This window comes from Homo sapiens, chromosome 10, assembly GCF_000001405.40.
Source record: "Homo sapiens chromosome 10, GRCh38.p14 Primary Assembly".
Lineage (NCBI taxonomy): Eukaryota > Metazoa > Chordata > Mammalia > Primates > Hominidae > Homo > Homo sapiens.
In genome coordinates this window covers 122901625-122918816 of record NC_000010.11, presented here as the reverse complement: position 1 = coordinate 122918816, position 17192 = coordinate 122901625, and the positions used below count along the sequence as shown (strand labels likewise).

The following is a 17192-nucleotide window of genomic DNA, read 5'->3' as shown; positions in this document are numbered from 1 at the left end:
AATAGCTTACCAACCAAAAAAAGTCCAGGACCAGATGGATTCACAGCTGAATTCTACCAGAGGTACAAGGAGGAGCTGGTACCATTCCTTCTGAAACTGTTCCAATCAATAGAAAAAGAGGGAATCCTCCCTAACTCATTTTATGAGGCCTGCATCATTCTGATACCAAAGCCTGGCAGAGACACAACCAAAAAAGAGAATTTTAGACCAATATCCTTGATGAACATTGATGCAAAAATCTTCAATAAAATACTGGCACACTGAATCCAGCAGCACATCAAATAGCTTATCCACCATGATCAAGTGGGCTTCATCCCTAGGATGCAAGGCTGGTTCAACATACGCAAATCAATAAATGTAATCCAGCATATAAACAGAACCAAAGACAAAAACCACACGATTATCTCCATAGATGCAGAAAAGGCCTTTGACAAAATTCAACAACACTTCATGCTAAAAACTCAATAAATTAGGTATTGATGGGACGTATCTCAAAATAATAAGAGCTATCTATGACAAACCCACAGCCAATATCATACTGAATGTGCAAAAACTGGAAGCATTCCCTTTGAAAACTGGCACAAGAGAGGGATGCCCTCTCTCACCACTCCTATTCAACATAGTGTTGGAAGTTCTGGCCAGGGCAATCAGGCAGGAGAAGTAAATAAAGGGTATTCAGTTAGGAAAAGGGGAAGTCTAATTGTCCCTGTTTGCAGAGGACATGATTGTGTATCTAGAAAACCCCATTGTCTCAGCCCAAAATCTCCTTAAGCTGATAAGCAACTTCAACAAAGTCTCAGGATTCAAAATCAATGTGCAAAAATCACATTCTTATACACCAATAACAAACAGAGAGCCAAATCATGAGTGAACTCCCATTCACAATTGCTTCAAAGAGAATAAAATACCTAGGAATCCAACTTACAAGGGATGTGAAGGACCTCTTCAAGGAGAACTACAAACCACTGCTCAGTGACTGGTTTTTTATCAGCAGTCCCCACAGTGAGGGTTCTCTCTCCCCAACTCCTTTCTGGAAGGGTTGCCCCCCAGTGGAAGATCTTCGTGGGGATCTCTAGCAGCTGGCACCCAGGAGTCAATGAGAAACTTGCTGTGGAGATGACAGGAAGCTGGACCTTTACACTGTTCCTGCAAATCATGAACTGGCATTTGAGGCCTTTGACATTTGAGGCCTCAGTGACATCTGAGGCCTTAGGGGCTCTGGCCTGGGAAGGGAAGCCTGTGGGAGGCCAGAGGATCAGTAGGGCAAGGTGGGGGTGTGGCACCTGGGCACACTCTGGGTCCAGCTGGGTCACTGTCCTGCCGAACACCTATCAACTCCAATGGAGATGACACTAGGTTCAAGAGGCCAAAGAAGAGACTCAGCCAGAAAATGAGACATGGGATTTTATTAGGGGCTACATACAGGGGACAGAGTTCAGCATGGGCTGGACAGAATAATTGCATGGCTCAGTGGAGATGGGCTGGGAAGGAAAATCGCAGCTGCTGGCAAAGAGCATGCAGTTTATATGGCATTTTCACTTAACACCCTCCCCCTAACAGTCTCCACCTGGCAACCTTCACTTAACCCAAAACTCAGGGCCTTGGACTCCTGGTTGGCCTGCAATTCCATGGGATGGGATGGGGGCTCAGATGTTCCCGACAGACAAGAAATGAATCTCAGGGCTGACCACTCCTAGATTCGCCATCTCTGAACATACATTCAGTTGCATCTGCCACACAGGGTCATTCTCAGGGTATGCTTCAATTATTGATGTCAGGTGTGTTTACCTTACAGTCACTCAGATGCCCTGCCAGACAACTGAGGGGTGGAAAGAGGGGGCAGAGCATTGTGAGGAAAAGGGACAGCAGATCCAGGTTCCCCTGCAAGGATTTCTAACAGGTTATGTCTGGAGAGGCTGCAGCAGTTAGCTTAGTCCCTTGGGCACTGTGTTTTGCGGCCAAGAGAAGGAAATCCTGGTGTCCATGAAGAGACTAGGAATGGCAAATGTGTGTGTACTAGGGAGGGTGGGGGCTGCCCTCTTTTCATTTTCATTCATTTATTCATTTATTTAGCAAATATTATGTAACGTTCTAGGTCCTGAGCAATACAGAATTGAACATGAGAGACACAGTCCTGCCCTCATGGAACTTGAATTCTAGGCGGGGAATTAAACAAAAATAAATGAAGAATTCAAATAGTGAGAGGAGCTCTGACTGCAATGAAACAGGGTGACCCGTTTTATTAATAGACAGTGGCTCCCTTGGGGTGGGGAGGACATATGAGGGTGGGAGGGAAGGTGTCTTGAGAGATGAAATCTGAGCAAAGACAGAAAGATAAGAGGGAGGCATTCATGTGTGATCTGAGCTTGGGGGTTGCATTTTAGGCAAAAGAGAGGGCAAGTGCAAAGGCCCTGAGGCAGGGACCAGATGGGCACACCTACAATAGTAGAGATGAAAGAACAGCTTGGCTGGACATGAGTGGGAGGAGCGAGCTGGGAGGGAAGGATAGAGAGGAGCAGGTAAAGGTCAGATGTGGAAAGGACCTGTAGGGCAAATGAAGAGTCTGAGTTTCACTCTAAGTTCAGGTGGAATATTTTGAGTGGACAATGCCAGAACTGGCTACTTTTTGAAGAAACTCTGTACAGCTCTGTGGAGGTCTGATGCTGGTATAGGCTGCGTCTCCTGGGGTGAAACCTTCTGGCTACCGCCAACTCCTCTTTATTGTTCTGACTGTACTGCAGCCCAGGATGCCTCCCTGGGGAGGCATGCTGTGACCCAGGGGATCCATTCCTTGTTGGGCCCACACCTATTGCTGCAGGGGAAAAGCAGCACCTGAGATGCTGGGATGTGGTGCTCAGGAGGAGCTTAGACACTCTCCAAGGCCCCTGCCCAGCTCTGCTCCATTCCTGTCTGCTCAGGCTGGCTGCGGATGAGGTGGGACTGGGTGTCCTGGGGTGAGTGAGCAGGGTGCAGGCATTTGAGAGGGGACCCTTCTGGTTACTAAGTGCTGCTCACTCACAGCTGTGTCCATTAACGCCCACCCCCACCCTGGGCTCTCCCTCTGAACCCCTCTCTCTCTTCCATGGCCAGGATCTCAAACATCCCTGATCCATCCCCACTGAGCACAAGAGTTTCGTGACCACACTCTGTTGTGGGGTAGGTTGCCTGATAAATGATCCAGGCTTCCGGGTTCAGTCAGGAGGGAAGCCACCTTCAGGCCCTTGGCAACTTTCTGTGGATCATGGGGTGCTGTGAGGTCACCTGGCCTCATCTCACTGCCTCTTCCCTGTCACCTGTGCTAGTCCCCACTTCACATCAAGGACACAGAGGCTCAGATGGGTCAAGGGACTTCCCCTAGTGAAGGCCGAATTGGGATGGGAACCGAGTCCATAGGGCTCCAAAGCCCATGTGTGGTGTTCTGCCCTCCTGCTAATGGGGGCATCCTGAAGACCCTTGTCCCACCTGCCTCCCTCATGGCCCCTGCGATGCCTGCACCAGGCATAGTTGCCCATATAGGGAGGCCCTGGCACAGGCCTTCTGGATCCAGGCACTGGGCTGCCCACTGGGTGGGGTAAGAGAGGACTCGTGGGTGCTCTGTCAGCTCAGAGCTTGCTGGTGACAAGAGTAAATCGGTGTCAAAGGATGGAAACAGTGCCCAGAAACTCGAGGGTGAGAGATCACTTCCAGGACGAGGGTCTCAGGGCAGCCTCCAGGGAGTTGCTCGGCTCCAACGGCAGCCCCTCCAGAGCTGCTAGGCCTGCCTGCCTCTGGCCTGTTTCCCCAGCACTAAGGTTGGGGGAATCCTGAATATTCCCAAGACTCCCACACACTCTGCCCAGATCCCTGGAGTTCAGCCAGCAGGCAGCCCCCCAGATGCTTATTTCCACCCTTGTTCACCCATCACCTGGAAGCCACAGCTGTTTCTTTCATTTGCTATTCCTGTTTTCCTGTTTACCCCTTTAGTAGGTAACCAACTGTTACTAGTTAATAATTATTATTTATTATTTTTATTTTTTGGAGACAGAGTCTTACTCTGTTACTCAGACTGGAGTGCAGTGGTGAGACCACGGCTCACTGAAGCCTCCACCCCAGGGCTCAGATTATCCACCTCAATGCCTGCGGAGCTGGGACTACAGGTGTGGGACACCACATCCAGCTAATTTTTTTATTTTTATTTTTGGTGGAGACGGGGCCTCACTGTGTTACCCAGGCTAGAATAATTCTTTATATTGTCTACATGTGATGTTCACAAGCAAGGGTTTAGTTCATGAGAGGAGTATACATGACGGTTATGCCTTTCTCGTGCTCGAAAGCAGTTCCAGGAGGCTTAGGGGAAGGAGCCGGAACAGAAGGCAACTGGGAGCAGAAGAAGCGAGGGAGGGCTTCCTGCTACCTGTTGCTGTCCTTGACCTAAGGAAAGAAACTGAAACAAAATTAACATAGAGAGGTTATTTGGCCCAAGGTTGAGGACCGTGGCCGGGACGCACTTCCAGGTTGCTTTGGGAAGTGCTCTGCTTGGCCTGTTAGTAGTAGGTTCTTAAAGGCAAAGGGGGCAGGCACAGTGGTTCATGCCTGTAATCCCAGCACTTTGGGAGGCCGAGGTGGGTGGATCATTTGAGGTCAGGAGTCTGAGACCAGCCTGGCCAACATGGTGAAACCCTGTCTCTACTAAAAATACAGAATTTAGCCGGGCATGGTGGCACATGCCTATAACCCCAGCTACTCAGGAGGCTGAGGCAGGAGAATAGCTTGAACCCAGGAGGTGGAGGTTGCAGTGAGCCAAGGTCACGCCACCGCACACCAGCCTGGGGGACAGAGCAAGACTGTGTCTCAAAAAAAAAAAAAAAAAGGCAAAGGTGATCAGGAGTGGCTAATACAGGAATTCTCACTGGTTTACAGAGATGACATTGGTTAGTGATTGGTTCTACAGGGTTGGATTATAAGGTATGAGTTTTGGTGTCCAGCGTATGGATTTTTATGGCTTCTTGGCATCAGTTAGTCCAGAGCCCATATAGCAAGTGGCTTCAGGAGGTAATTATTTAGCTCAAGGGGGCAGTGAGACATGACTGCTGTTTCATTTCAGTTCCTCTCTGGGAATGATAATTAAAGGGGGCTCACATTCCTCATGTTTACCTGCTATCCTCAGATAAAATTTCTTTGCTTTCTCACTGTGGTCCAGAAAGTCTGGGCTTTGGTGGAAGTCCCTATTATAGTTGAAGCTGGATCAACGCACATCAGTGTTATCGTGATCCACAAAGGAGGCACCTGCTCTGACGATCTGGGGGTGGCAGCAGGAGAAATCTGGTTTTCCAAATGTGCCCCTTGAGGCCACTGAGCTCAGGACTTCTTTTACACAGATCAGATGACTTTAATGCAAGGGAGGTCCTGCCTGGCTCCTCTCACTGTCTTAGATGAATGGACCATTATCCGTGGTGGAGGAACTAGGTGCCAGCGACCACAGCTCTCAGGAGAGCCGAACGAGCTACTCCAGCTGGGTGAGGTCAGCTGGGACTGACATTGGAAATGTCCTAATATCAATGTGTGTTTTCCTTGTAGGGTGGGAGATGTGCTGGACACTTTGATTTTCTAACTTTCTTTTACCGCAATGTAATATTACCAGCTAGTGACCCCAAATCCCAAAGTAGGTAATACACATATTTAAATAAGCGATGTTTATAACTAACAAAAATACTGGAGGCAGAGGATTATTTCCAATATTGCACATTTATTCAGAAGTACAGAAAATAACACTGTACATTATATAATAGTATGTAAACACTCTAGAACTTGACTTGAATAATAAAACATTCTATTAAGAAAGAAATATTGCTCATGAAGATTTTTGTGCCCAGCTTTCCCAAGTCAGAGGCCCTCATTTATGTCACAACAGCAAGGTGGCAGGGAATCAGAACTGGCATGCATTCTACAACCTTCACAGCACTGGAGAGATGGACAAGACTCCATGGTGGTGGCTTTGGCCTGGCTGTTCGTGGCCCAACACACCTTGTCTGGGTTGTGATTTTTTACAGCCACAGCATCAGGGTCCTTTGCAGCTCTTAAGAAAAGACACACAAAGCTCAGGCTTAGAATTTTTCTTCTCAGTCCATTTGTTAGAATTGTTGGGGGTATCTGGGAAGTTTAGTGCTGAAGCCAATCAAACATGAACACCAGCCCTACATTAAGGCTCTCTCCCTTGTCTCAAATTCCTCTTGAATCCCTTCCTCTCCTACGACTGCTATAAATGTAAACTCAGGTTACAAAAGTAAGGGTAAGTGAATTGCAAGCAATCACCCAGCTGGTGACTGCAGGCCCCCGAGATGCAGGAATGATGGGAAGGTGCTGCATTCAGCTGTGCCCCAGGCTCCGGGATGTGTCTCTGTGAACCCCTTAGAATGGACTGTGTCTGACAACCAACCTCTCTGGTACTTGAAGAGTCTTCTCCCCAAACTGTAATTGTCTTTTGTTCAACCTACATTCCCTTTTCTTTCTGCTGTCTCCCAGGATATTCACACATGTCAGCTGTCCCAGAGTCCTAAAGATCCACCTCTTTGTTCTCAAGGCCACCAGAAATAAATGAAGGAACACTCTGAGAGCTCCCAACTCAGGCAAGAGGAGATCAATCCAGCCCATCCTCCGCATGAGCACAAGGCAGAGGCTCATTAATGCAGTCTCCCTACGGAGTCTTCAGCCTACGGTGCCCAGGGGAGGTACTGGCCAAGGTGCTGAACAGAGTGGGGCACTGGCCAAGGTGCTGAACAAAGGGAGGCTTGGCCAAGGTGCTGAATTAAACACCTGATGGTAAACTCATTGAGGTCCAGTGACAGCCAAGCACCACTGACACTCACAGCCTTAAACTGAGAACATTCTACAAACCCCCGGCAGAAGGGTAAAAGATTTTACACTCAGCTGCCATTTCTGCCTTTTCAAAACTGCTTCTTGTTCTTGTCCTCACTCACTCAGGGGTATGGCCACAGCAGAAAGGAATGACCTTGCTCAAATAGGGAGTCCAGGTATCCCATTTGAGGAGGTGTAATTCATTTTCCCCCACATGACTCACTTTAGTGCCTTAGCTACTTTGAAGTAAAGACAGAACACAACACTTAGGAGCACCATCGCGGCAACCAGTAAGCTGCTTCCGATGCCGATCATGATCTTCGTCCTGAGATCAAACATCTTTGCCATGCCTAAGGAGAAAGTGCAGGGAAGCAGAACGTGGCCTTCCTCCCCACACAGCCACTAAACAACCTTCCGTTAGTAGAGGAAGAGTGAACCCCAGACACATGTAAACTGCAAGCAAATCTTTCCAGAGAGTCCTAGGATCCTAAGCTGGTCCAGGGGCAGACAAAAGGACTTATTTATGGGTAAAAATGGACTTAAATGCAAACTCCAGAGGGAAGGAAATCATAATGACAGACAGTGGGAAGAATCTTTCCCTCTCACAGGCATGATGTGCAGCTGGAAATGACCACAGGCCTGCCTTGGAGCTGATGACTTCACTCCCCACCACCTGGGCCCTGAAATATGTTCACTCAGAGGGTCAGAAGTCACCCCTCACTGTATATTAGGTTTAAAATTATTTTATGAAACTAAGAGAATTAGTTTAAAAAGTATTGTCCAACAATACTGAGAATATGAAAATCTATTTTGTAAGTGATAAGTATTTTGGGAAAAACAGTTTTCAATTTTCCCACCAACAACTGGGTTATCTCAGGGTTTAAGGAGATTCCTGACACTTCCAGCCAAACCTTTGCCAGGGCTCAGAAATGGGACGTGGTCTGCAGAGACCAGGAGCCAGCTTATTCAGGAGCCCCTGTCCCTCATTCTGTCTTCCTAGTAGACCATAGGCCTACCTCTGCCATTTTTCCTAGTAAATACTAAATTCTCCCAGGAAACCCAATTTGTTTGGAATAAGTAATTTGCTTAATCTAACACTGTGAAACTGAGGAACAGTGAGCCAGGAGAGAAGAATAACCAATCTGATAGCTAAGCATACTTACTACAGTTCAACCATCCAGAGCTAGATGAAGGCCAATTGTAACAATAAAATTAAGGGAAAAAAACCTCTAGGGCATCGGATATTTGGAACTTCTCAAACCTGTAATCTGAGAAAGAGGGACCTAATTATCCCTGCTAGGAGTAATTAAGATCCAAGGTTGAACAGCTCAGCTCACTTTTGGAAGCTCAGGCTCAGCCAGAGCTGGTAGAATGGGCCTATTCTGACATTCATGCCACAGGCTGTGTGACATCAGCTCTCGGGACACCAGCTGTCTTTCATGGAGTTCTGAATTCTATTCCATAGGTATATTTTTGCTTTTGTGAAATATAAATACTATTTTGAATCACTTAATTCTAAGTCTTTCACCTTTTCAGGTCTTATTTCCCTTCCATTAATTTTTGGAGTTTGACTGCTAATCAAAATCAAGTTTGAGATTTCAATTTAGCAAATAAAAGAAAAAGAAATGTGGGAAGGGTAAAATAACCTCACATTTAAATTTCAATTATAGAAGACTGGTTAGACTTTAGATTTTAGTTGCACAATGAAATAATATGGAGCCGTTTACTAGGATTCAAGCACACTTCCATTGACATGGGAAGATTTTAATGCTTTATAGTTAAAAAAAGTACAAAAATGAAAGTTGAACAGGATATCTGTTCTAGTCTGGTTTGTATGATTTTAAGGTACTTATATCCAGCCAGTGTAGTAAAATTAAATGAAGAGACACCAGGTTCAAGGAAGATTGTGTAGACATGTTTCTCCCTGCTAAGCATAACTATTATTCCTGGAAATAACACAAATCAAACAAAGGAGAACTCTGAAATTGGAAAGGAGAAAGCAAACTACTAGGGACCCCAGGCCTGGGTAAGCTCCATAGCAGTAGAACAGGGGAGGTAGACAGGCCTGGTGTTTTCCAATGCTCAATCTAGCTTATTCCATTCCCGGATTTAATGTGAGTCCTGCTGACAACCCCAGGCTTTCCCAGCAGCAGTGGCAAGTTGGGTGGATTGTGAACCCCATTGGCAATAAGCCTGCAGGGGAAGTGCTCATCTTCCTTGCTAGTCATGAGACTCCCCTCCTCAGACCCTGCAGGGATCTGACCACATTCAGTGACCTAGCCCAGGAAGCACTCTGTTCCCATGTGCTAGAGACCCCCCTGGACTCCAGGTGGCTCCAGCTTGGGGACCCTCCTTCTGTCCCTCAGGCAGCACTTTCGGGGACCTAGAAGCCCCAGTGACACCAGATAAATGAAGTAGACCAAAATATCACCACGAAACCTCTGAAAATTAAATTGGAATTGGAATCTAATCCCACAAAAGTAAGCCAGGATCTGCATGCTAAACCTAGTCAGTGACTAACTAATAAAATAAAATATTTAAATAGGACCTAGAGTCTCCTAGCATAAAGTCAAAATGTCCATGATTCAATGAAAATGGTATTACGGGTATTATCGCCCGTAATACCAATAACCAGAAAAGTCACGCCCGAATGAGAAGAGACAATGAATTGATGTCCTGAGCATGGAATAAGTTTGGTGTGGTCAAGGAACAAGAAAAAGGCCATTTGACTGGAGATGCATAAAAGCGAAGATGGCAGGAGAGGACTTGGAAAAAATTGGCCAAGGATACCAACATGCAGGGCTTCGAGCTCTAGTATAATCTTAGATTTTTTTTCTGCCTGTTACAGAACATCCTTGGAAGATGTTGATTGGGATTTTAGTAAGAAACTCATGCAACCTGGCTGGGGAGGCTGTGCTTTTAAACATAGACCAGTGGTTACAGAAGAGAAAACTGAGGTCAAGTAAGGTCAAATACTTTCTCCAAAGTTACATAACAAGTAAGTGACTAAGGTGGAAGGAGAATTCAGGTTTCTTTACCTAGTGTTTTTTCCTATAAGCCATCTTGAGCATGTATCTTCTGAGGGTATTTGGAGAGATGATCTCAGAATGGGCAGAAAACTAAAATCCTAGGCTTCCTTGCTTGATGAAGGCATGGGACTGTCTTTCAGTATGAGGAAGTAGGGACATGGGAAAAGGAAGGGGCAACTGGGCAGATGCTAACATTTGCTTTACCTTGAGAGGCAGCCATGGAGGAAGAGTTGCTTCACCTTTCCATAGATTTCAAATGTGAAAGAGAATCAATTCTAAATAAGAAGGTTCTACACCAAAACCCAAATGGGCATGGGGAACAGGAGAGATGAAAATAGGGAGAAGGAAAGGGGTCCTGGATTTCAAGCCCATCCTCACCATCTATTGATACCAAGACTAATAAAGCAATTCACCTCCCTAAGCCTGCTGCTGCTTTTCTGAAGTGAAGGGATAATGAATGGTGTGAGGTTTGACAATGATGGCGGTGGCAGCCTTTAGTGTCTCAGAGGTTTCTACAAGGACACATGTGTCACAGTTTGGAAAATTGTGATGCCAATGTGAGTAATTAACTCTTCTGCTGTGGCTCTTCTCCAGCCACAGGTGTGTTCTGCCCACAGGCTGGATCCAGGCAAAAGGTGTGAAAGTGAGGACAAGATTTTGAGGGAATCTTTACCAATGGGTCTCTGCTAGAAAAAGTCTGCAAATGACTGTTTAATTGGAATCATCACTTGGTTTCATCAGGTTTTAAGATTTCTGACTCCTCAACAAGTCAAAGAGCTTTACTACTTCTCTTCTGGATCCCACAGTTCTCATTTAAACAGCAACTTTCAGGAGCATCTCCTGAACACACAGGTTGCACAGACACCGACTCTGAGTTTTTGGAATCTTGAGTCTACTTCTTCTGAGACTTATCCATTTATTGAAGCAGCGTTTCTCTAACTTGCGTGTGCGTAAGAATCATCTAGAGAGCTTGTTAAATCACAGATTCTGGGCCTAACCATAGAGATCCGATTCATTGGTTTGGTGGGGGGAGCCCATGAACTTGCCTTTCTAAGCATCTCCCAGGGGAGACAGAGGCACAGGTTGAGGGGGACTGTGTTAGAGCCTGTGTTGGTCAGGGTTCTCTAACAGGACAGAACTAATAGGATAGATGAATACATAAAGGGGAGTTCATTAGGAGAATTGACTCACACAATCACCAGGTGAAGTCCCACAATAGGCGATCTGCAAGGTGAGAAGCCAGGAAGCCAGTCTGAGTCCCAAAACCTCAAATGTAGGGAAGCCAATAGTGCAGACTTCAGACTCCAGTCTGTATCGAAGGTCCAAGAGTCCAAAATCTGAAGAACTTGGAGTATGATGTTGGAAGGCAGAAAGCATCCCACACAGGAAAAAGATGTAGGCTGGAAGACTCAGCCAGTCTAGTCCTTCCAAGTTCCTCTGCCTGCTTTTATTCTGGATGCTATGGCAGCTGATTACATGGTGCACACCCAGATTGAGGGTAGGTCTGCTTCTCCCAGTCCACTGACTCAACTGTTAATCTCTTTTGGCAACACCTTCACAGACATGCCCAGGAACAATATTTTGCATCCTTTAATCGAATCAAGTTGACACTCAATATTAACCATCACAGAGCCCAAAACAGGGACTCCATGTTCAGCCTGTTGAATAATAGCCCTGGAATCTCCTGCAATGGTTCTTCAGGGACCACACCTCATTCTGCTCTGATTCCTTAGATCTGGGTTAGGGCTGTGGAACCTTCATGTTTAACAAGTCCCCCAGGTGATTCTGACAAAGAAGACTGTCTGGGGAGTGCGTGCTGGGAGTCTCTGGCCTCATTTCTGAAATTTAAGGCTGTCAGGCAGTTGGTCAGAGGCTACATGTACAGGGTTCTGCATTCACAGCACCTACATTCCATTATGACCAATAACTTCTGCAAGTGGGTTCATGAGGAGAGCTCCAGTCTGTTTTTTTTTTCCTTTAACGTTTATTTTTTTAATAATTTCTCAAAGTTTTTTTATTATTTTTTATTTTTAAAAAATGATGAGTTCATGTCCTTTGTAGGGACATGGATGAAATTGGAAATCATCATTCTCAGTAAACTATCGCAAGAACAAAAAACCAAACACCGCATATTCTCACTCATAGGTGGGAATTGAACAATGAGAACACATGGACACAGGAAGGGGAACATCACACTCTGGGGACTGTTGTGAGGTGGGGGGAGGGGGGAGGGATAGCATTAGGAGATACACCTAATGCTAAATGACGAGTTAATGGGTGCAGCACACCAGCATGGCACATGTATACATATGTAACTAACCTGCACATTGTGCACATGTACCCTAAAACTTAAAGTATAATAATAATAAAATAAAATTAAAAAATAATTTCTGAAAGTTTTCATCACATGGTTTATCTTTTTATTAACAAAGTATTTTAATTTTTCTCAATAGGTTTTTGGGGAACAGGTGGTGTTTGGTTACATGGGTAAGTTCTTTAGTGGTGATTTCTGAGATTTTGGTGCAGCCATCACCCAAGTAGTGTACACTGTACCCAATGTGTAGTCTTTTATCCCTCATCCCCCTACCACCCTTCTCCCTGCGTCCCCAAACTCCATTGTATCATTCTTATGCCTTGGTGCCCTCATGGCTTAGCTCCCACTTATAAGTGAGAATATAAGATGTTTGGTTTTCCATTCCTGGGTTACTTCACTAAGAATTATGGTCTCCACCTCCATCCAGGTTGCTGCCAATGCCATTATTTCGTTCCTTTTTATGGGTGAGTAGTATGAATAAACCACATTTTCTTTATCCACTCGTTGACTGAAGGGCATTTGGGCTCATTCCATATTTTTGCAATTGTGAACTGGGTACTGTAAACATGCATGTGCAAGTATCTTTTTCATATATTCCTCTGGGTAGATACCTAGTAGTGGGATTGCTGGATCAAATGGTGGATCTGCTTTTCATTATTTAAGGAATCTCTATACTGTTTTCCATCCCACCAGCAGGGTAGAAGCATTCCCCTTTTCACCACATCCATGCCAACATCTATTATTTTTCAATTTTTTCATTATGGTCATTCTTGTAGGAGTAAGGTGTAATCACATTGTGATTTTGATTTGCATTTCCCTGATAATTAGTGATGTTGAGCATTTTTTCATATGTTTGTTGGCCATTTGTATATCTTCTTTTGAGAATTGTCTGTTCATGTCCCTAGCCCACTTTTTGATGGGATTATGTTTTTTTTCTTTTGTTTCAGTTCCTTGTAGATTCTGGATATTAGTGCTTTGATGGATGCATAGTTTGCAAATACTTTTTCCCACGCTGTGGGTTGCGTGTTTACTCTGCTGATAATTTCTTTTGCTATGCAGCAACTTTTTAGTTTAAGTCCTATTCTATTTATCTTTGTTTTTGTTACATTTGCTTTTGGGTTCTTGGTCTTGAAGTCTTTGCCTAAGCCAATGTCTAGAAGGGTTTTTCCGATATTATCTTCTAGAATTTTTATGGTTTCAAATCTTAAAGTTTTTGATCCATCTTGAGTTGATTAGTTGATTTTTATATAGAGTGAGAGATAAGAATTCAGTCTCATTCTTCTACATGTGGCTTGCCAATGATCCCAGCATCATTTGTTGAATAGGGTGTCCTTTCCCCACTTGAAATTTTTGTTTGCTTTGTTGAAGATGAGTTGGCTATAAGTATTTGGCTTTATTTCTGGGTTCTCTATTCTGTTCCATTGGTTTATGTGACTATTTTTGTACCAGTATCATATTATACCAGTACCATATTTTGGTGACTATGGCTTTATAGAAGTTTGAAGTTGGGTAATGTGATGCCTCCAGATTTGTTCTTTTTGCTTAGTCTTGCTTTGGCTATGTGGGCTCTTTTTTTGGTTCCTTATTAATTTTAGGATTGTTTTTGCTAATTCTGTGAAGAATGGTGATGGTATTTTGATGGGAATTGCATTAAATTTGTAGACTGCTTTTGGCAGTATGGTCATTTACACAATATTGATTCTACCCATCTATGAGCATGGAATGGGTTTCCATTTGTTTATGTTGTTTATTATTTCTTTCAGCAGTGTTTTGTAGTTTTCCTTGTAGAGGTCTTTCACTTTCTTGGTCATGTATATTCCTAAGTATGTGTGTATGTATGTGTGTGTGTGTGTGCGTGTGTGTGTGTATATATATACGTATATATATACATATATATACACATATATATACACACGTATATATATACACATATATGCGTATATATACGTATATATATACACGTGTGTATATATGTACATATATATGTGTATATATACGTATATATATATACGTGTATATATATATGTGTGTGTATATATATATATACACACACACACACATATATATATTTCCAGCTATTGTAAAAGGTGTCGAGTTCTTGATTTCATTTTTGGCTTGGCCACTGTTGGTGTATAGCAGTGTTACTAATTTGTGTACATTGATTTTGTATCCTGAAACTTTATTAATTCATTTATCTGATATAGGAGCTTTTTGGATGAATCTTTAGGGTTTTCTAGGTATGCAATCATATCATCAGCACACAACAACAGTTTGACTTCCTCTTTACCGGTTAGTATGCCCTTAATTTATTTCTCTTGTCTGCTTGCTCTGGCTAGGACTTCCAGTACTATGTTGAATAAAAGTGGTGAAAGTAGGCATCCTTGTCTTGTTCCAGTTCTCAAAGGGAATACTTTCAACTTTTCCCCGTTCAGTATAATGTTGGCTGTGGGTTTGTCATAGATGGCTTTTACTACCTTAAGGTGTTTCCCTTCTATGCCAATTTTGCTGAGGGTTTTAATCATAAAGGGATGCTGGATTTTTGTCAAATGCTTTTTCTCCATCTATTGAGATGATCACGTGATTTGCAACAGACGACGTGGTGAGTGATTATCCATTCTGCCATTCTGTATCTTTTAAGTGGTGCATTTAGGCCATTTACCTTGATTTTACATTTTGTTTTTAATTCTGTTTATGTGGTGTATCACATTTATTGACTTTTTATGTTAAACCATCCCTGCATCCTTGGTATGAAACTCATCTGATCATGGTAGATTATGTTTGATATGCTGTTGGATTTGGTTCGCTAGTATTTTGTTGAATATTTTTGCATCTATGTTCATCAGGGTTATTGGTCTGTAGTTTTCTTTTACTGTTATGTTCTTTCCTGGTTTTGGTATTAGGGTGATACTGGCTTCATAGAATGATTTAGGGAGGATTCCCTCTCTCTCTACCTTTTGCAATCGTTTCAATAAAATTGGTACCAATTCTTCATTGAATGTCTGATAGAATTCAGCTCTGAATCCATCTGTTCCTGGACCTTTTTCTGTTGGCAATTTTTAAATTAAAATTTCAATCTCACCACTTGCTATTGGTCTGCTCAGAGTTTCTATTTCTTCCTGGTTTAATCTAGGAGGGTTGTATATTTCTAGGAATTTATCCATCCCCACTAGGTTTTCTAGTTCGTGCACATGAAGGTGTTTATAGTAGCCTTGAATGCTCTTTTGTATTTCTGTGGTATTTGTTGTAATATCCCGTTTTGTTTCTACTTGAGCTTACTTGGGTCTTCTCTCTTCTTTTCTTGGCACTCTAGCTAATGGTCTATCAATTTTGTTTATGTTTTCAAAGAACCAACTTTTTGTTTCACTTACCTTTTTTGATTGTTTTTTGTTTGTTTCAATTTCATTTAATTCTGCTCTGATCTTTGTTATTTGTTTTCTTCTGCTGGATTTGGGTTTGATTTGTTCTTGTTTCTCTAGTTCTTGAGGTGTGGCCTTAGATTGTCTATTTGGGCTCTTTCAGACTTTTTGATATAGGCATTTAATGCTATGAACTTTCCTCTTAGCACTGCTTTTGCTGTACCCCAGAAGTGTTGACAGGTTGTGTCACTATTATCATTCAGATCAAAGCATTTTTAAATTTCCATCCTGATTTCACTGTTGACCCAAAGATTGTTCAGGAGCAGATTATTTAATTTCTATGTATTTGCATGGTTTTGTGGATTCCTTTTGGAGTTGATTTCCAACTTTATTCCACTGTGGTCTGAAAGAGTACTTGACATAATTTCGATTTTCTTAAATTTATTGAGGCTTGTTTTGTGGCCTGTTATCTGGTCTGTCTTGGAGAATGTTCCATGTGCTGATGAACAGAATGTATATTCTGAAGTTGTTGGGTAGAATGTTCTGTAAATATCTGTTAAGTCCATTTGTTCTAGGGTATAGTTTAAGTCCATTGTTTCTTTGTTGACTTTCTGTCTTGATGACCTGTTTAGTGCTGTCAGTAGGGTGTTGAAATCTTCTACTATTATTGTGTTGCTGTCTATCTCATTTTTTAGGTCTAGTAATAATCGTTTTATAAGTTTGGGACTTCCAGTGTTAGGCACATATATATTTAGGATTGTGATATTTACCTGTTGGACTAATCCTTTTATTATATAATGTCTCTGTTTGTCTTTTATAACTGTTGTTGCTTTAAAGCCTGTTTTGTCTGATGTAAGAATAGCTACTCTGGCTTGCTTTTGGTGTCCACTTGCATGGAACATCTTTCTCCATCCCTTTACCTCAAGGTTATGTGAGTCCTTATGTGTTAGGTGAGTCTCTTGAAGACATAAGATACTTGGTTGATGAATTCTCATCCCTTCTGCCATTCTGTATCTTTTACATGGAACATTTAGGCCATTTACATTCAATGTTAGTATTGAGATGTGAGGTAGTAGTCTATTCATCATGCTAGTTGTTACCCGAATACCTTTTTTTTCACTGTGTAATTGCTTTATAGGCCCTGTGAGATTTTATGCTTTAAGGAGGTTCTATTTTGGTGCATTTCGAGGTTTTGTTTCAAGATTTAGAACTCCTTTTAGCAGTTTTTGTAGTGCTGGCTTGGCAGTGGCAAATTCTCTCAGCATTTGTTTGTCTGAAAAAGACCTTATCTTTCCCTCATTTATGAAGCTTAGTTTTGCTGGATACAAAATTCTTTGCTGATAGTTGTCTTGTTTAAGGAGACTAAAGGTAGAACCCCAATCCCTTGCAGGGTTTCTGCTGAGAAATCTGCTGTTAATGGGTTTTCTTTTATAGGTTACCTGATGCTTTTGCCTCGTAGCTCTTAAGCTTCTTTCCTTCTTGACTTTAGATAACGTGATGACTATATGCCTAGGTGATAGTCTTTTCGTGATGACTTTCCTGGGTGTTCTTTGAGCTTTTTGTATTTGGATGTCTAGATCTCCAGCAAGGCCAATGAAATTTTTCTTGATTATTCCCTCAAATAAGTTTTCCAAACTTTTAGATTTCTCTTCTTCCTTG

At 42.9% G+C, this 17192-nt stretch overlaps 1 protein-coding gene across 3 annotated transcripts, besides 1 other annotated feature; it reads right to left on the bottom strand.

Moving 5' to 3' along the window:
- Positions 1-5705: 5705 nt before the first annotated feature.
- FAM24A (family with sequence similarity 24 member A) lies at positions 5706-8207 on the bottom strand. Of its 3 annotated transcripts, none has more exons than NM_001029888.3 (3): positions 7998-8207; positions 7058-7184; positions 5706-6055 (listed from the first exon to the last, which is right to left on the bottom strand). In NM_001029888.3, exons 2-3 carry the CDS (start codon positions 7180-7182, stop codon positions 5863-5865), a joined length of 318 nt encoding a protein of 105 aa, NP_001025059.1. In that variant the 5' UTR covers positions 7183-7184; positions 7998-8207; the 3' UTR covers positions 5706-5862. The 3 variants fall into 3 exon arrangements, with proteins under 3 accessions (NP_001025059.1, XP_016871128.1, XP_016871127.1); XM_017015639.2 differs by having other exon boundaries at positions 8096-8207; XM_017015638.2 differs by having other exon boundaries at positions 8001-8086.
- Positions 6630-6924: a silencer, noted in NCBI's record as "tiled region #13232; HepG2 Repressive non-DNase unmatched - State 9:DNaseU, and K562 Repressive DNase matched - State 9:DNaseU". NCBI's record gives its function as "represses a minimal TATA promoter and a strong SV40 promoter by Sharpr-MPRA in HepG2 and K562 cells {active_cell/tissue: HepG2 | K562}" and the evidence as "EXISTENCE:reporter gene assay evidence [ECO:0000049][PMID:27701403]".
- Positions 8208-17192: the final 8985 nt, after the last annotated feature.